This window comes from Homo sapiens, chromosome 2, assembly GCF_000001405.40.
Source record: "Homo sapiens chromosome 2, GRCh38.p14 Primary Assembly".
Lineage (NCBI taxonomy): Eukaryota > Metazoa > Chordata > Mammalia > Primates > Hominidae > Homo > Homo sapiens.
The window spans coordinates 106,744,795-106,763,793 of NC_000002.12; the positions used below are offsets into that span (position 1 = coordinate 106,744,795).

The 18,999-nt window shown below is 40.5% G+C and overlaps 1 long non-coding RNA gene across 2 annotated transcripts in view, besides 3 other annotated features; it reads left to right on the forward strand.

Annotated features, from left to right (window-relative positions):
• Positions 1 to 18,999, forward strand: part of LOC102724744 (uncharacterized) — an 81,680-nt gene that overhangs the window by 43,111 nt on the left and 19,570 nt on the right. The window lies entirely within an intron of this gene.
• Positions 2,349 to 3,548: an enhancer, noted in NCBI's record as "CDK7 strongly-dependent group 2 enhancer chr2:107363599-107364798 (GRCh37/hg19 assembly coordinates)". NCBI's record gives its function as "activates an origin of replication core promoter dependent on BRD2, BRD4, P300/CBP, MED14 and CDK7 cofactors, with strong dependence on CDK7, by STARR-seq in HCT116 cells {active_cell/tissue: HCT116}" and the evidence as "EXISTENCE:reporter gene assay evidence [ECO:0000049][PMID:35650434]".
• Positions 9,640 to 9,856: a silencer, noted in NCBI's record as "fragment chr2:107370890-107371106 (GRCh37/hg19 assembly coordinates)". NCBI's record gives its function as "represses an EF-1alpha promoter that drives an FKBP-Casp9 reporter gene in an ReSE screen in K562 erythroleukemia cells {active_cell/tissue: K562}" and the evidence as "EXISTENCE:reporter gene assay evidence [ECO:0000049][PMID:32094911]".
• Positions 17,217 to 17,728: an enhancer, noted in NCBI's record as "NANOG-H3K27ac hESC enhancer chr2:107378467-107378978 (GRCh37/hg19 assembly coordinates)". NCBI's record gives its function as "activates a minimal SCP1, AML or CMV promoter by ChIP-STARR-seq in naive H9 embryonic stem cells {active_cell/tissue: H9 hESC(naive)}" and the evidence as "EXISTENCE:reporter gene assay evidence [ECO:0000049][PMID:30033119]".

Sequence of the window (18,999 nt, forward strand, 5' to 3'; positions counted from 1 at the left end):
AGGAAAAAATCAACAGAGCCATCCATGAATTGACCTCTGCCCAACACTCACTTCATTTTCCTTGACTGCTCTTTTCCTAAGCTTGCTGTAGCCACTTCAAACATCCCGTAGTTCCCTGACACAGTGTGTGAAATATTCCTGGGCCTTTGCATATGTTGTGCCCTCTGCTTGAAGAAATGCTCTTATTTTTCTAGTGCAATGCATGTTGCATTTCACCTTCTTGGGGATGCTCCTTGCAACCCCAGCCTTGTGCTGATCACTCTTCTCAACTATTCTCAAATCTTGTAGGTACATGTAGTACTCAATTATTCTGTAGTCTGAACTCTTGAAAGGCAATAGCGTCCATTCTTGGGATCTATGAGATGAATAATAAATGTTTGATGTGTGGATTACACACATATCATACATAGACTATGAAAACATTTTCATGGCAAAAGACAATTTTCTAACATTCTTAGATTGGGCCTGATTTGGTTGTGTGTGAGCTCAGAATACCAGATAATTTATGCAATTATTAGGCCAAGCAATGTTATCAAACTACTTCAAACAGTTGTGGTAAGAAAAACAAGTTGTTTTTAGAGAAGTGTTTCATTTTTGAGGCGTGCTCAGAGTAAAGAGAAATTACTTGGCACATTAGTCAGGATTCTTGGTTGCAAGTGATAGAAATTGACTGGTAGTTAATCAGAGAAGGAAGGATGCTGAGTAGTTTACAGCAGCAGTGAGAAGGCTCAAAAGCCCGTCTGAGAGAAGCAGGAGACCAGGCAGCCGGACCGAGCTGAGCTCCCTGCCGAGAGCAGTCTGGTGCAGATTTCATCAGGGCTCACATCTCAGCTGTCTCAGAGGCTCACCCAAAAAGCAGGATTTGAGTCCTGGGTAAGAGCATCAGATTACTCCAGCCTTGGCTACCTGCCCACAGCCCAGGTTGCTGGCAGGCTAGGGGTGAGAGGAAGCATCTGGTCTCTCTGCTTCTGGCCTGGGAGGGAGGGCTCTGCCTCCCATAAAGCCTGGTAATGAGGCACTCCTTCAAAACTGGAAGAGCCTTTGAATCAAGGTAGCGGCCCTCCTCTAAAGAAAATGTGAAATATTTCTACATCCCCTCCCTTTGACCACTCAACACCTATGTAAACCTTTCTTCAATCCTATGGAAGAAAGTACTCTTGCCTAAAATAATATAGTCCTTTCTTGTATGATTAAAAGTACAGCACTCCTCAGTGGAATATAATCCAAGTTGTAGTCATTTACTTCAACCACTCCACGTTCCTTGAGTAATACACAGTCTTCTAGAGCAATTGCAGTGCCCTCTCAATATCCTGCAACCTATGCTCTCAGTTTCAGTGTTAGTACTACCAGGACTTATTGTACACCTATATACAATATGGGAAAGAAAAGATCACTAAAAAAATTATGAACATAGCATGACCCAGCATGGAAGGCAACGTCAATGGAGACTGCATTCCCCATAATGTATTCTATGTTCCTTCTGCCTTCTGCCAATAACTAAGTTGTTGTTTACCCATTGGGATAACTCAACTTTTCATTACCAATGAATATCAACCCTTGGCATTCTAGCCCATATACAGTGATAGCATTGGGCGTGGTTGCATAAGGACCTGGGAGAATCACCTGGGCTCCATTCACTTGCCTTCCTGTTGCCATTGTGTAAAAAACTTCAGTATTTCCTTCATAGTGAGGACCTATGCCCCCCAAACACTACAACTTCTCCTCTTTACTTTTTTCTTTTCTTTTTCTTTGTGCCAAATGGCCTGAAAACATAAATGGCCAAGCAGTTGAAGACATTGTTGTGATCCTTAATAGGAGGGTTTCTTCCATAGCTAGTAAACCTCCAAACAAGAAAAACACTGAAGTACAAGGACTGGAAATACAAATGTTTCATTAGGCTATAGGTCTAATCATGAGGCATGCCACCTTTATTCTTACCTTTAGATCCATGTATTTTGGCCAAGGGTGAGAAAGCACCACATACTGACTGCTGGTTCAGTGGACATATTGCATCCACAGGACAGCATCCCAGCCTCACAAGATGCTCTTCTCCCAGCTGGGGTCAAAACTGAGTTTTTAATATGTATTTAAGAATATATATGCTGCCTATATCTGGAGGATAGTACACCTGATAAATCCTGTGAAAACCACAAACATTAAGGTAGTTGTTTTTATAAAATTAATTATTTGTCAGAAGCAATGTAATGTGGGGCAACATGACAACGTATAAGATGTTTAGAAAGTCTGGGACGTAGTGATGCTGAAAGTAGCATGAATGCAAACTGAAGCACAAAGTTCATCTTAATTCCAGTGAAGCAGATCGCTGTGCTTCTATGACGGAAGATGCTTGGTGCAGTCACTGTGCTACCAAGAAGCTGGCTGTTCCTAGGGTATGGTAAATATTAAAATCTCAATTTGGTGAATGGTGCCAGCCGCTTGGGCACTATGCAGAGGGGATGGCAAAGCAAGTTGTGGAGAATTGCTTTTGACCCATTTCGTCACCTCCTTTCCGACAGTTTGGCCACTCTCTAGAATACCACCACGCAAGAGATTGGCTGGTTGGAGGAGGATGCTGACCCACAGTGACAGAGTAGGACATCTCATCCAGCCTGGGAGCAGCCGCAGAGAATGCAGATATTCTGCTACTCTTGCACCATTCTGAAAAGACAATCCATATCCTCTTTTCCACGCTTTTTGTCTCCAGGTCCACTCTGTTGCTTCTAAATCCCTTGCTATTTGGCCAAAGCACTGAGCTGGAATGAACTGTGCACCCCTATCTCTAGCCACCCCTCATTCCAGGAAATGTGGGGAATGAAATATGTGGCTTGAAGTTCTGCTTACCACAGGGAGGTTCCTCCTCCACTGTCCTTTAGTGCCACTGCTGAGCTGTGATGCCATGCAGAGTCATCTGTTTCTTCCTAATGAATTGTTCCTCAGGAATGTACCCTGAAGATAAAAGTGAAGCTTGAAGAAAAAGGAACAAGGTGGTGGGATGAGGCTCTCTGAGATTGGGTGCTGCAGGCTTGCTAGACAATGGGGTGCAAAGCTTCTCTAAGATGAAACTGACAATTCCCAGGTCAGCAAGGGCTGCTCAAGTCACACAGATGCCTGGTGTATCAATTAGGGATGCTTCAGGATGCAAACAACAGAGTATACAACTCATAGTGACTTCAGCACATAGGGCTTTGCTTTTCTCTTGTACTCTTGTAGAAATAAGTCGGAGGGGATGCAGGCTCAGTGACCCAGGACCAGCACCTTTGCAGTTATCTTTGCAGGGACTTCTGCTTTGGTCTTATTGGCCCAAAATCTGTGACCTGTGGCATCCTACCCCACCCTCATCTACAGAAGTGGAGGAATATTTGATAATATAGCTCCTCCAGTCCTGCTAATGTTACAGACATGGGGATAAGGGTTTGAGCACATAGGAATTGGTTTGACAGCCAACAGCGTCTACAGCACCTGGTGATATAGTCAGATGCTGAGTCTCCACAGAGCCTAGTTACAAACTAAGAAATGTTTTCTCAAAGGGAAGGTAATTCCTGATGGAATGCAGAGGCTCTCATTCTCCACTTGGGCTCACTGCGGGCTTCAGACAGCAGCCAAGCTGTTTGGGTACTTTGCCCTTAGTTGGCTCTGCCAGTTTGTAAGTTGATGAACCCAGCTTCTTTTACTGCAGCTGCATCACTTGAAAAACTGATTTTTCCTCTGGGTACCAATCAAAACTGGAAGTAATTTGAAAAAACAGTAAGTGAATCAAAATGGGCCCCCCAAAAGTTATGGAATATATATATCCAAAGTCCAACGTGTTGTCTTCTTGGAGGTGGGGAGCTCTAGGTTTAGCAGCTTGTCCTTTGTCTCCTTTGTCTGGGAGGGGTATCCCGATGTGCCCCAGGACACTAGACCCCAGTGCTTTATCAGGGTGAGCCCTGCATGTTCATGGTGCTTATCTCCCTCCCTCTGGCAGTTTGCCTTTCCCAGTGATTTAGGGTGTGCACCACTTCCTACTGGTTAGAGCCAGAGTGCGATTTCATCACTGTAACAGGTTCACGGACTTCTCAGTTTTCCTTTCTACTCAGTGGGTCTAGTAGCCAATATGGGAGTTATCCCAGTTACTGAAAATTACAATTCCAAGTATGCATATTCTCCTAGGAGAATAGGAACCTGAAACTAGGAACTAGGAGAATAATCTTAGGAGCTATGATTGACGTTTCAACAACTGCCAAGGGAACTCGGTCTATACTGCACATATTTACTAATCTCCGTGACACCCCTACTCTGACCCATGGATAGCAGCAGTGATCTAGGTCTCAGCAATCAGCAATTTTCTTACAACTTTAATGAGACACATTTTACGCATCATATAATTTACCCACTTCAAGTGTGCAATTCAATGAACAGTAAATTTACCAAGTTGTGCAGCCATCACTATTAATCAGTTTTAGAACATTTTCAACAGTCCAATAAAGTCTCTCTGGCACACAGGTAAAAGAGGTCTTATTGAACTGATAGAAATATTATTAAACAGACTTTGAAAAAAATTGTGAAATAATCGCGCTATATTCCATTGTCGTAATCTACTTAACCGGGACTACCACTTAGATTGTTTAATATCTTGTACAATGTACATAAAGATATGATGAACTTCACAGGTGGTAAATATTTTCATGCATTTCTCAACATATACCTAGGATAAATTTCTAAAAGTGGAATTAGTAGACTAATATTTTTAAATGAAAAGAAAATTCAGAAATTATAAAAAATTACCAGAGTCTGAATGAAGATAAAAATAGTGAAAGGGCCTTTTGTAACTCTGCAGTTGGCAAAAATGTCAGGGGAACAATTATTTCCAGTGACAGCTGACACCTACTGTGATAAAGAAGATGCAGCCTTGTCTCCGTAGGCCCGAAAGTGTCCCTAGGCAGTCCTGGGAGCTTCCCTCTGTGCCTTTACCTCTGCTGCCAGAAAAGTAATTCCTTAGAAACTGCCCGTTAAAATTTAAAATCTGAGTGTTCCTGAAATCTTACAGCCAAAAGTCACAAAAATGATCTCAGGTCTGGGCCCAAATAGGCAGCTGTGATGCCTTTTCCTTGACTCTTTATTTTTCCCCCTGTGGTGTGTGTATAGTATTCTGTTTTCAGAAGGCTAGGCCATAGAGACTCTCACTTGAGCTGCTTTGAGTTGGATGTGGCCACACTGGGGGCAAAGAGCAGCACTCCAGTGTGTAAGGAAAACATTCATCAGAGCCCTCTCTCACCTGTCAGAGCCCTCACGTTAGTAAATCTGAGAAAAAATACTTCAGTTTCTCACTGTGAGTCAAGGAAGCACCAGGGCTGGAATTGAGATGGTGCAATTCGCAAGTTGCCTCCAAACTACTAATTTATCATCCTCATTTTACAACATTTTGCCACCACCACACCCAAGGGAATAGCTTTGACAAGCCTTCAATTCTTCTATTCTAAAAGAACTAAATCCATAGCATGCACATGCGTGCGCGCGCACACACACACAAATTTAAATGACATTTATTATTTCAATAGGCATTTTTCTTGTACTTTACGATTTTCCAGAAAATTCTTAACTAGCCTCTAAATAGTTTTGCACTCAAGGCAATAAATTCTCAGTGTTGAATGATTCCAACCAGGTTTCGCTGAGTACAAGTGTCTTGGTTTACCTCTTCCTTATTTAAGAAGTGGGAGAACAACCTTTCCTTTTCCAGGCTTTTGAAGGAGTCACAGAAGTTCTGGGAATTGAAGGAGTTCGAATATGTCCCCACAAGGGTACTTCAGAGGACCTGGAGATATCTGGTTCCCAGCCTCACAAGCAGCATCACCATGATCTGCAAGCTGAACTCAGGCTCCACCCAGGCTCTGGGTCGTAAGCCTCCTTTTGCTTCCTATTACTCATTGATAGATGATCAATACAAATGACAAAGGACAAAGCTAGAATGAGCCTGTGATATCAAGAGGCATTGGTATGAACACATGGTATTTTTAATACATTTATAAAAATGTAAAAAATAATAGGATAGCTTATTTTACATTATGTTACTTTACTATTTATTATTTTGCTTTACATTATAATTAAAATACATGTGTCTCCATAAAGAGGAACAACAGACACTGTGGTCTACTGGAGGGTGAAGCATGGGAGGAGGGAGAAGATCAGGAAAAATAACTAATGGGTACTAGGCTTAATACTTGGGTGATAAAATAATCTGTACAACAAACTCCCATGACATCAGTTTACCTGTATAACAAACCTGCACATGTACCTCTGAACTTAAAATAAAACTTAAAAATAACAATAATGATAAATGCATCTCAAGAGAATGAGAAGACAGTCCATGAACTTGGAGAAAATATTTGCAAAAGACACATCTGATAAAAGACTGTTTTCCAAAATAAAGAACTCCTAAAGCTCAACAATAAGAAAACAAACAATCTGATTGAAAAATAGTCAAAAGACCTAAATAGACACCTCACCAAAGAAGATATACAGATGGCAAATAAGTATATGAAAAGATGCTCAACATCATATCTCATTAGAAAGTTGCAAATTAAAACAGCAATGAAATAACACTACCCACCTACTAGAATGTCCAAAATACAGGACACTGACAACAGCAAATGCTGGTGAGTATGTGGAGCAACAGGAACTCTCATTCATTGTTGGTGGGAAGGCAAAATGGTGCAGCCACTTTGGAAAGTAGTTTGGCAGTTTCTTTCAAAAGTAAACATACTCTTACCATATGACCCAGAAATTATGCTCCTTGATATTTACCCAAGTAAACTGAAAACTTATGTCCACACAAAAACCTTTCCCAGTGATTTAGGGTTTGCACAACTTCCTACTTGGAATATTTTTATAGACACTTTATTCATAATGGCCTAGAGAGAGGAAGCAACAATCCAAAACTTGAAAGAAACCAAGATGTCCTTCAGTAGGTAAATAGGTAAATCATGGAATATCCAAACAATGAAGTATTACTCAGTGCTAAAACAAGATGAGCTATCAAACCATGAAAAAGTGTGGAGAAACCCTAAATGCATATTACTAAGTGAAAGAAGCCAACCCGAAAAGGCTATGCACTGTGTAATTCAACTATATGACATTAAGTAAAAGGAAAATGGAGACAGTAAAAAGATTCATGGTGGCCATTAAATTGGGAGAAGGAGAGATGAGAGATGAATAGACAGAGTACAGAGGATTTTCTGGGCAATGAAACTACTCTATATGACACTACGATGCTGGAAATTATACAGTTGTCAAAACCCATAGAATACAAAAGATTAAAACCGAACCCTAATGTAAACTATGGACTTTGAGTGATAATTATGTGTTAGTGTAGGTTCACTGCTTGTAACAAATGTACCGCTCTGGTGTGAGATGTAAATCGTGGGGAAAGTTGTGCATGTGTGGGGACAGGGCTATGTGAGAAATCTGTCGTTTTCACTCAATTTTGCTGTACTCCTAAAAGTGCTCTAGAAAATAAAGTCTATTAATAAATCAATAAAAATTGTGTATATACATAAATTAGTATATATACAGATATTTCCTAGTTCTTCCTAATGTTACTTAGAAGCAGGAACACCCCAGTAGCAACAAGCAATCCTAATGTCCAGGTCTTGGCTCCTAAATACAAACATTTTCTAATAAAGTAAACCAGGGCTCCTGGAAGAAATGCTTGATTCTAAGTGTGATGGACTAAGTGTTTTTGTGTCCCCTGCCTCAAAGTCCTATGTTGAAGCCCTAACCTCTAATTTAACGGTATTTTGTGATGTGGCTTTTTGGAGGTAATTAGTGTTAGATGAAGTCTCATATAAGAAGAGACACCAGAGAGTGCTCTCTCTCTTCACCATGTGAGCACACACCAAGATGGCAGTCTCCTACAAGCCAAGAGAGAGGCCTCAGAAGGAAGTCTTCCTTGTAGGCAGCTTGATCTTGAACTTCTTGCCACCAGAACTATGAGAAATACACTGCTATTGTTTAAGCCACTCATATATTATAGCATTTTGTTATGGCAGCCCAGCTGACTAATTCACCAAGGCTGTGACAGGAACAATCGAACAATCCAGGATGAGCCTGGAGCATCTTGTGGCAAGAGAAAGTAAATAAGTACTATTCAAAAAAAAAAAAAAAAAAAAAGAAGGAAAGAAAGAAAAAAGGAAAGTATATTAAAACGACACAAAACCTAATCTAAAGAGTTTATAATGGACAAAACTGGAACAATTTGAGCAATGAGCTAAAAGAAATAACTAATATATAAGATAAACATCTGTGAGTCTATATTACATAAATGATTTAATAGACAAACAAATGAGGGAAAGGGTGTAACTCTTCATTACAGGGGAGGCGCAGTTAATATGCGCAGGAGAAATGAGGGAAGTAGACAGTGACCATGAGGACACCGCAGTAATAGCTACTGTAGGTGCAGTCCATTGATGAATGCTAATGTTAGAGGACAAAAGTTTAAGGAGAACCAGAAATTTGCATAGCCTCAAAGCGTGTCCCCTCAAGTATTCACTATTTACAAAAGAAAAAATATTCAGAATATACTAACCGCTAAAGAAGACACATAGACAACAAATTAAGCATGCTGTAACTATTAATACTTATAAAAACTTAGCAAACCATAATGGTAGATAGGTGTAAAAGTAATTGCATTTTTTTCCATTAAAGGTAATGGCAAAAACTGCAATCACTTCGCACCAACCTAATATTTATATATCCTATAATTTTGGCTTTTTCAAAATCTTTTGACTTTGATTCTGAAATCTCAAGTAAATTAACTCAAATTGGGTATTAGTAAAGCGCAGTTTCGAGTCTGTGAAGATCTAATGGAACAGGCCTCTACATACAAACACTCTGATAAGCTTACTGGGTCCTCCACTTGAGGTAATTGTCCAGGTAATTGTCTATTTCCCTAACAGGAAGCAGTATTCCACTAATAGGAAGCAGCTGGCCAGTTGTTCTCGTCACTTCCTTGCTCCCTGGACTTGTGGCTCCTTGCCCTCCCCATGCTCCCAAGCCCCCAGACCTCCTGGACAGCTTGTCATCTGTGAGCTTCCTCTGGTGTGTGTTTTCTCACGAGCCACAGGGAGAGGGACTGGAAGAAGCTTGCAGCTGTGGGACTGTGCAGAGCCCACCGTCAACCAGATTTGCACTAGTTAGGATTCCTGTGGTTGCAGAGTCCTAGATGGGTTTACAAGAAGGGCGAGGTAATAGGACCAGAGGGGTTGCTGAGCATCTAGACCATGTGGGCCAGGCTGCACTCAGGTTCCTCACCTCTGCTCTTCTCTATTTCATTTTGCAGGTTGGTGACCAAGTCTAGAATCATGGCTCATGCATATTTATATAATACATGTGCTTCTGTGATACATATTTATTATTAATATATAATTAGTTATATCTTGATTTTACAATATACAATAAAACAATGGTATTTATAATTCTAGACTTCATTGCCTCCTCATAGACACAGATGGGATATATATGAATATACCTGGGTCCCATGGTACAGGTATTGGGGCAAGTGAGGCAGGGTAGAGGAATGTCTAACAGTTCCCAATTTTACATGTCACAGACCAGGCAGTCAAGGTAGACTGTACTCCTTTCTCGGGTTCATTTCCAGAATTCCTAGCGGGAAAATACCGTTTGGCCCCCTTCACCAGATGTTTTACTGCTGCCTGGCCAGGAAGGCACTGAAGGTCCTGCGATCATCACCCACCTGTGTGGGTGGAGGTCCCAGCCTGATAATCTGAAAGTGTCCACTGTAGTCCATAGTCAGGACCCTCACCTAGGACTCACTATGGGGAAGGCACAGTCTAAGCACTTTACACAGACTGTGTGGTTTGGAGCCTGGATTGTGACTCCAGGCAGTCGGGCTCCAGTCTGCAGTCTTATCACTGACTATGCTGGTCAACATTCAAATAACTGTTTTGTTTTTAGATTTGTTTCCTAAAGTTTTAGGTGTTTATTGTGGAGAAATTGGAAAATACAGAAAACATTATGAATAAAATGCGCCAAGCATGGTGGCTCACACCTGTAATCCCAGCACTTTGGGAGGCTGAGGCGGGCGGATCACTTGAGGTCAGGAGTTCAAGACCAGCGTGGCCAAAATGTTGAAACCCTGTCTCTACTAAAATACAAAAATTAGCTAGCCAGGCGTGGTGGCAGGCATCTGTGATCCCAGCTGCTGGGGAGGTGGAGGGAGGAGAATTGCTTGAACCTGGGAGGCAGAGGTTGCAGTGAGCCAAGATCATGCCATCGCACTCCAGCCTGGGTGACAAGAGTGAAACTCTGTCTCAAAAAAATAATAATAATCAAATTAAATTAAAAAAATAAAATGTCATTATTAACATCATCACCATGTAGAGATAAATACTGTTAACAGATTGGTGTATTTCTTTATGGAACTTTCCATTTTGTGTGTGAATGAGTGTGTCTGTGCTTTCCCAGTTGAGTTCAAATTATACTCACCTTATAACTTGGGATTTGCTTTTGTTTTTGTTTTTAAGATTTGAATCATGGACACTTTCCTATGTCATTAAATAATTTTTGAAAATCTGACCTTTTAGAAATCTGATTTTTCAAATTTTACTGCACAGTGTTTAATTTTATAAGGTTACACATTTATTATTGGGTTTTTTGTTGTCTACATTTTGTATAAATAATTCAATCATAAATACGTATGTGTAAATATTTGCATGTCTCCAATTATTTCATAAGTTTATTTCATAAGTAAACAAGTAAATTTATGTCATGAATTCCTATGAAATTCTAACTTTATGAAATTTATTCATGGATTGTTGTGACAAAGCTCTGAGGTTTTCAAGGCCTTGAAATTTGTGGTCCAATTGCTTGCCTGAAAAATTTACCAATTTATACTCTCATTATACAGACAGTTTGATAAAGAAAACTACCTATTTGTCTCATGAGAAATGAAACTTTATAAGCAAAGGAGAAATATACAGTCTCAGAAGACTTTGAATCTTGGAGGAAGTGAGTTTTTAGAAGGATGGTCTGAGAATATGTGCATGCCTTTACATTTTAAATGAAAGATATGGCTGATTGGATTACAAACAGAAAAGAGATATAAATTTGGGTAGCACAGTAGTTGCTTAGACTTAGAAGATGGGGAATTTCTTACCTGAAGTTAATTAGCTAAAGATTAAACCTTAGAAGGAAAGATAAAGGGTTTATATTACTCTCTCTTCCTCCCTCTCTCTCTCTCTCTCTCAAACCCAGCAAGCAGCTAAATACCAAAGTAATCACTTCTAGGAATGCAAAGGAGAGACAAGATCCATTATCCAGTAGACAAATATGAAAAATGGGACATATGGTGAGGGGAGGCACTTTTCTCAAATCTCATGAAAAGAAAAGGATTAATTAACTTCAAGAGGACAGAACAATTTTGGGAAAGGAGACAGAGCACAAAGTGTGTTTAAAGCAAGGAGGCAAAAGTGTTGCTGAGCCCCAATCAACAACTGCTCAGCTCTCGCCTCCAGAGTGTAATAATTAGCAGGAAGCAAAGAAGACTGTTAGGGGCAGGAGCAGCACCTGGCCATTTACAGGATGGTGTCAGTGCTCAGAACTTAGAGATCCTCTGTGAAATACAGGCAGAAAAAAATAGGGGGAAAGGACATTAACAAATAACAGACATTAAAGAACAAGTGATGATAGCATGAAAAGAACTAAGGTGGTTAAATGAAGAAATAAAAGACACAACATTCATTTCTTATGACTGCTATAATTAAAGTCCCTCAAAGTTGGTGGTTTAACAGAATACAAATTTATTATGTTACAGCACTGGAGGTCAGAAGCCCAGAATGAGTCTCTCTGGGCTGAAATCAAGGTGTCAGCAAAGCCGCTGTCCTTCTGAAGACTCTGGGGAGAATCAGCTCTGGGTCTTTCCCAGCTTCTAGAGGCCCTGCATTCCTTGGCTCATGGTGGTGTGTGATTCTAGCCTCTGAGCTGTCTGCACATCTCCTCTAACTCTAACTTCTTGCTCCTTTATAAAATCACATTGGGGCTACCCAGATAATCCAGATGACCCCCCATCTCAAGATCATTAATCACATCTATAAAGTCCCTTTTGCCATGTAAAGTGCCATATTCACAGGTTCCAAGGATTAGGACGTGGGCGTCCTTGGGCAACCATTGGTCTGCCTACCACAGACACTAAACACATCTGAGATCTCTGGATTCCAATAGTTGGAAGTGATGTTTCAGGGAATCCTGGACAGGCTTCCCAAGTGAAGCTTAAAGCCCCTTTCTGTCTATAGGCAGAATAAATGATGAAGGATCAGAAAGGAAGCAGAATCATGGGGATGGTAGTTTTAAAAATCAACAATAGATCAATGAGAAGAACAAGAAAAAAATATTGGGAATTCAGAGAAAAAAATTATCCCAGATGGACAAGAAGCAAAGAACATTGGACTTTCCCTCTGTAAGATATCACTGATGCCATTTAGAATCAACAATCAGTGCATAGTGGAGGATTAGTGAACCAAAGCCCCAAGAAGGAAGACCACCCCTGACTTTGACGTATGTTCTCTGACTGGTCATCTGAATTCATGAGAAAATGTTCAGTGTTATTTTGGAGAAAGTGAATAGATTAAAGTTTATTTGTCCATTTCGACAACTCTTTTTCATGTTGGAGTAATGTGGAAGACCACGGGCATGGATGTTAAACAAACTCTTTAACATATAGCTGTACGTGACAAGGGCAGGAAAAGTCCTGGGTGTGTGGGGAGTAAGAAAGCCAAAGGTCCTAGCATTTGCCTAGGTGGCAAATATCCTGGGAGGAGACTGGATGTAGGAAGTAAAAATTCCTTCCAGAGAGAGGGGCCTGAGGAATACCACAGGGTGGCTTCTGGCAGAGATCTCTTGGCCACAGCCTTTGCATAGGCTAGGATTCCATCTGTAATAGCCACTGTAGCACTGATGTTTAAAGCATTATGCTATAGAGGCAAATATCTTTATCTTTGGTTTTTAAGGTGAAATAAACATGATCTCTCTCTCTCTCTCTCTCTCTCAAATCCAGCAACTAACTAAATACTGAACTGATCACTTTTAGGAAAGCAAAGGTGATTACAAGATTGTAAAACAGGACTGATTATAGACTAAGGTTATCAAGTAATGGGAAGAATATAAAAAAAGAGAAAAAAATTGAGGATAAGTGAATTTATCCCCAGATATTTTCTTCATATTTGTTATTGAAACAAAGTAAGAATAAATGAATTGATTCTAATGGAAAGAAAAATTAAACTAATCTCATAGAGATAAGATATGTTTCTATAGTATATTGAATATAATTCAGTCCTTACCTATTCTTTTATATATATATACGTATATATATACACACATATATACACATATATACACATATACACATATATACACATATACACATATATACACATATACACATATATACACATATACACATATATACACATATATACACATATATACATATATACACATATACATATATATACACATATATATACATATATACACATATACATATATACACATATATACATATATATACACACATATATATACACATATACGTGTATATATATATATATATTTTTTTTTTTTTTTGAGACAGAGTCTTGCTCTGTTGCCAGGCTGGATTGCAGTGGCGTGACCTTGGCTCACTGCAATCTCCACCTCCTGGATTCAAGCAATTCTCCTGCCTCAGCCTCCCAAGTAGCTGGGACTACAGGTGCCCACCACCACGCCCAGCTAATTTTTCTATTTTTAGTAGAAACAGGGTTTCACCGTGTTGGCCAGGATGGTCTCAATCTCTTGACCTTGTGATCCGCCTGCCTGGGATTACAGGCGTGAGCCACCACACCTGGCCAATCCTTACCTATTTTTGATGGATAAGAACAAATCCATCAATTGAGGAAAAAAATACATAGTTTCCAGGAAAATAAGGACAAATTAGATAAGCAATGGAGAAGTAATGGAGAAGTTTTAAATAACTCAAAGAATTGTAAAATTAGAAATAAAATGTCCAATCAGTTTGGAATGACTCCATTCTCATTAACCATGCAACATAACATATGGACTCATTTTGAAATTATCTCACTTTCATTGGCAAAATTCAAATAAGTAATTCTCCTCCAAAATGAGTTTTTACTAAATCTTCATTGTCAAGTGGCATGTGTATCTTTTTGCTGAGCCAGGGAAATAAGTAAGTGCTGAACTTACACTCACTGCCAACAGATGAGAAAAAAATGCTGGAGGACTGCCATTTTAATGGAAGAAAATGAAAGTTTACTCTATATTAAAATCCTGAAAGGCCTTAGCTCTAGCACAGGGAATGTCAGACCCAAGGTCAGTCTACTGGGGGTATAGAATCTCAGTGCAGGGTGGGAGCAGATTTCAACTCACTAGACATGTTTTCTCTGTAAAGAATTCCAAGCTCTTGCTTCTTTGGAAGCAAAAACTTAAGATGTAGGAAAATATGACTACATGTTGGGAATATCACCAATGTAAAAAAGGGCTAGCAACTTTTTGACGCAGTTCCAAATGAAGCAATTTGTTGAATGGAAGTGAAACATTTTGCTGTCCATTCTGTCCTTGGAACATCTGTGCTGGGAAACAAAGTGCATGAGAGACCACTGTTTTGGGCTGGCCTCCTGCACTGGGCCCTAGGAGATCAGGCCAAACCAGAATGGAGTCACTGGTGCTAAGTGCCATGTAATCAAATTGAACATTGAAATAGGACAGTTTTCCTAAAAACAGGAGATTCTAGTCAACCTGATTCGGTATAATAAGGAAGTCCCCTCTGTTTTTTGTTTTTTTTTTTTTGAAACAGGGTCTTGCTCTGTTACCCAGCTGAGTGTGCAGTGCCATGATCATAGCTCACTGCAGCCTCAAACTCCTGGGTTCAAATGATCCTCCTGCCTCAGCCTCCAGAGTAGCTGAGACTGCAGGTATGTGCCACCACACTGAAGTAATTTTTAATTTTTTTGTAGATATAGGGGTTTCTCTGTGTTGCCCAGGCTGGTCTTGAACTCCTGGGCTCAAGCCATCCTCCCACCTCAGCTCCCTACAGTGCTAGGATTAGAGGTGTTGGGGCTGTAGGCCCTTGGCCCCCTAAAGTTTTGCTAAAAATCGCTGACATGAGGCACATTGATTAATAGGAGAAAAGGCATACAAATTTATTTAATGTGCATACACAAGAGTCTACAGAATGAAGATCTAAATTCCCAATGAGTTAAGAAACTTGTATACCATTTCGAGGTTACAGAAAGACTAGAGGCTTAGATTCTGGTAAAACAGGGTGTGGGAGGTGGAGAAGAGGCTTGGCTGCAAAGGAGGACTTGTTATGTAGATGAAGCCTCCCTCAGACAGAATAGATGGTAAACTGTTTCTTTTCAGACTTTTAAAGGTGTCAGATTCTCAATGTCTCCCCCGGATCTGGGGAAAGGAACAGAAAGGAGAGGGGTCTGGATGCATTAACAGAGATTCTCTACAGATGCACATTTTTCCCACTTGATATAGTTTGGCTCTGTGTCCCCACCCAAATCTCATCTTGAATTATAATCCCCATAATTCCCATGTGTCAAGGGCAGGACCTGGTAGGAGGTGACTGGATCATGGGGGTGGTTTTCCCCCATGCTGTTCTCAGGATAATGATGGATTTCTCAGGATATCCAATGATTTTATAAGTGTTTGACCATTTCTCCCACACACACTCTCTCACCTGCCGCCATGTAAGACGTGCCTACTTCCCTTTCCACCATGATTGTAAATTTCCTGAGGCCTCCCCAGCCATGCAGAACTGTGAGTCAATTAAACAACTTTTCTTTATAAATTACCCCATCTTGGGTATGTCTTTATAGCAGTGTGAGAACAGACTAATACACCACTTAAGGCAGCTTTGAAAGGCCACTTCTGTCAGGATGCCTAGGTGGCAGCCATTTCAACATATGCCAAAGAAATATATTTTGGGGCAGAATATTTTCATTTTCTTCATAGGTGTGAGTGATTGTGCCCAGTCAGTCCCCTCTGTTTTGAACCCTATAAGAAAAGTAACTTCGAAATGACCAATCTTTTTGTTCTCTCTGTCTGCATTTCTCAGCCCTTTTCTGTCTGTAAAGCCAACCTCCTCTGCTCAGATTGTCAGAACACTCATTCTGTTTTACGGAATAAAGTGTTGCCTGATTCTAGAATCACAAATATAGGCCAAGTAAGATCTTTAAACTGAATTGCTGTGATTTTGTCTTTAGACATTGCCTAGGATTCAATCAGAACACTTTGGCAGCTTTGGTGTGCCTCATAATCTTGTATTTCTTCATGCCCTTTTGCTATCGTTTGTCTGTGAAGATGGAGGTGAGATTGAAATTTGGTAGAACTTGTTTAACAAGACACAGGTGTTAATCAAAAATAAAATTCTAGGGCTGGGCAAGGTGGCTCACGCCTATAATTCCAGCACTTTGGGAGGCCCAGGTGGGCGGATCACTTGAGTTCAGGAGTTTGAGACGAGCCTGGCCAACATGGTGAAACCCCGTCTCTACTAAAAATAAAAAAAATTAACTGGGTGTGGTGGTGGACACCTGTAATCCCAGCTACTGGGGGCACTGAGGCAGGAGAATCACTTGAACCCAGGAGGCAGAGATTGCAGTGAGCTGAGATCACACCATTGTACTCCAGCCTGGGTGACAAGAGCAAAACTCTATCTCAATAAAAGAAAAAAATCTGAGCCCCTCAACCCATTGAACAGACCCCACCTCTCAGCCAAGTGCATTTCTAAGTTAACGTGAAAAACTAGGTCAGGTCATGATGGGAAGTGGGGGTCAAACATGCCTCATTTTACTCTCCTCCCGTTGGAAATCAGGCACACCTGACCAGTGTTAACATTAAGAGACCTTAAGACTGACAAAGCAGACTCTTTGTAGCAATAAGATACCAACATGACGGATAGTAGGCCCTAAAAGAAATCAACATAATTAAACCCAAACTATATTTATTTGACATGTTTTGAAATGGTCCTCAAATATGTCTCTTGTGGGGAAAATCTACATTCTGCAGATAACCCCTTTCTTTTTCCAGGTCTTTTTCCTGATTTAGGAGAGAATTAAGAGTCTGACACCTTTTTAAGTCTGATAAGAAATATTTACAATCTATTCTCTCTGAAGCCTGCCACCTGAAGGCTTCATCTGCATAATAAAAACCTTGGTCTCCACAATCCCTTATCTTAACCCAGACACTCCTTTCTGTTGATTCCAGGTCTTTAAATAAACTCTTTCAACCAATTGCCAATCAGAGAATCTTTGAATCCACCTATGACCTGGAAGCCCCCTCCCTCCACTTCCAGTTGTTTCGCCTTTCCTGACTGAACAAATCTACATCTTACATGTATTGATTGCTCTCTTGTGTCTCCCTAAAACATATAAAACCAAGCTGTAGCCCGAACACCTTGGACACAAGTCCTCAGGATCTCCTGAGGCTGTGTCACGAGCATGTCATTAACCATGGCAAAATAAACTTCTAAATTGATTGAGACCTGTCTCAGCTACTGTTTCATTTACACGGGTCACAAAGACCTGCTGATAAAACAGCATGCAGTGAGAAGCCTGCTAAAACCTGTCCAGCCTCTTTACTTTTTAATAAACATACTTCCTTTTTTTGGTGGGGAGTGGGAGACAGAGTCTGGCTCTGTTGTTCAGGCTGGAATGTAGTGGCATGACCTCAGCTCACTGCAACCTCTACCTCCCGGGTTCAAGTGATTCTCAAGCCTCAGCCTCTCGAGTAGCTGGGATTAGAGGTGTGCACCATCACACCCAGCTAATTTTTGTATATTTTGTAGAGATGAGGTTTTGCCATGTTGGCCAGCCTGGTTTCAAACTCCTGGTTTCGAGTGATCATCCACCTTGGCTTCCCAAAGTGCTGGGATTACTGGGGTGAGCCACTGCACCTGGCCAAATAAACATGCTTTCATTTTACTCTGTCTGCTTGCTCTTGAATTCTTTCTTTCATGGAGCCAAGAACCCACATAGCCTCCTAGGCTGAACACCAGTTTTGGGATTTGCCCCATGACAGAGCTGGTGGTAGTTTTAGAGGTAAGAGAACAGGGCAGCTTGTTGCCGACGGGCAGTGGAAAGGGATGTCACTACGTACATGTGCTTGTGTCCATAATTATTAAATAAGGGGAAAGGGATGTAGGTGGAGGAGTTTTGGCCATTTCATTGGCTTGTTCTTCTGAATCCAGGAATTTATCCTATGGCCTCCTATAACAAATGGTTTTAGATATGATTCTTGACTTCCATCTAACTTACAAATAGCAAAAATAATAATATTGCAATGGTCATATCAATCTCTTTACACAAAGGAGGACATTTTCCAGTAAATTGGTTACTATTTGTCTAATGATGAAATATTTTTCTGCCTTCAGGTGATTTATTTAATTTGCTATGGTTATAAAACTCCTACAGTTCATTCCCTGGGCCCCATTTCCCACTAAGATGTCATAGTGGGACAATAGTGGGCTCTAAGATCAAATAAATGCCGAGTCCTGCTTGGGGCTGGCTGGCTGCTCAACCTTGCTAAGGTATTTAGGAACTCTGAACTTGCTTCCTCCCCTGGAAAATGTGGAGATAGAAGATGACCCCTGATCTAGATATGAGAATCAAGTGCACATATGGCAGATAACAGAGAACCAAGAACTGTGGTTGCCCTTTCTAAGAAAAGGATAACATAACAAGTCCCTTCTTTTGGAATGGGTAGAACTTATGCCCAGGCTCTTGAGGTGCTGTGGAGTTCCCCACATGCTTGGGCAAGGGAGCAAAGCTTGAAATGGTTTATTCATTCCATCCTAGCCTTCCCTGCTTCCACTTTGTTTGTAATTTTTTTTTTTTTTTTTTGCCATCTTCTATCAGCATCTCCTGCCTAATTAAAAAAAAAAATCTAAATGCCCTATCAGACAGTTTGACTTGAAGTCCCACGGAAATTTAACTCAATTCATTGAAAAAT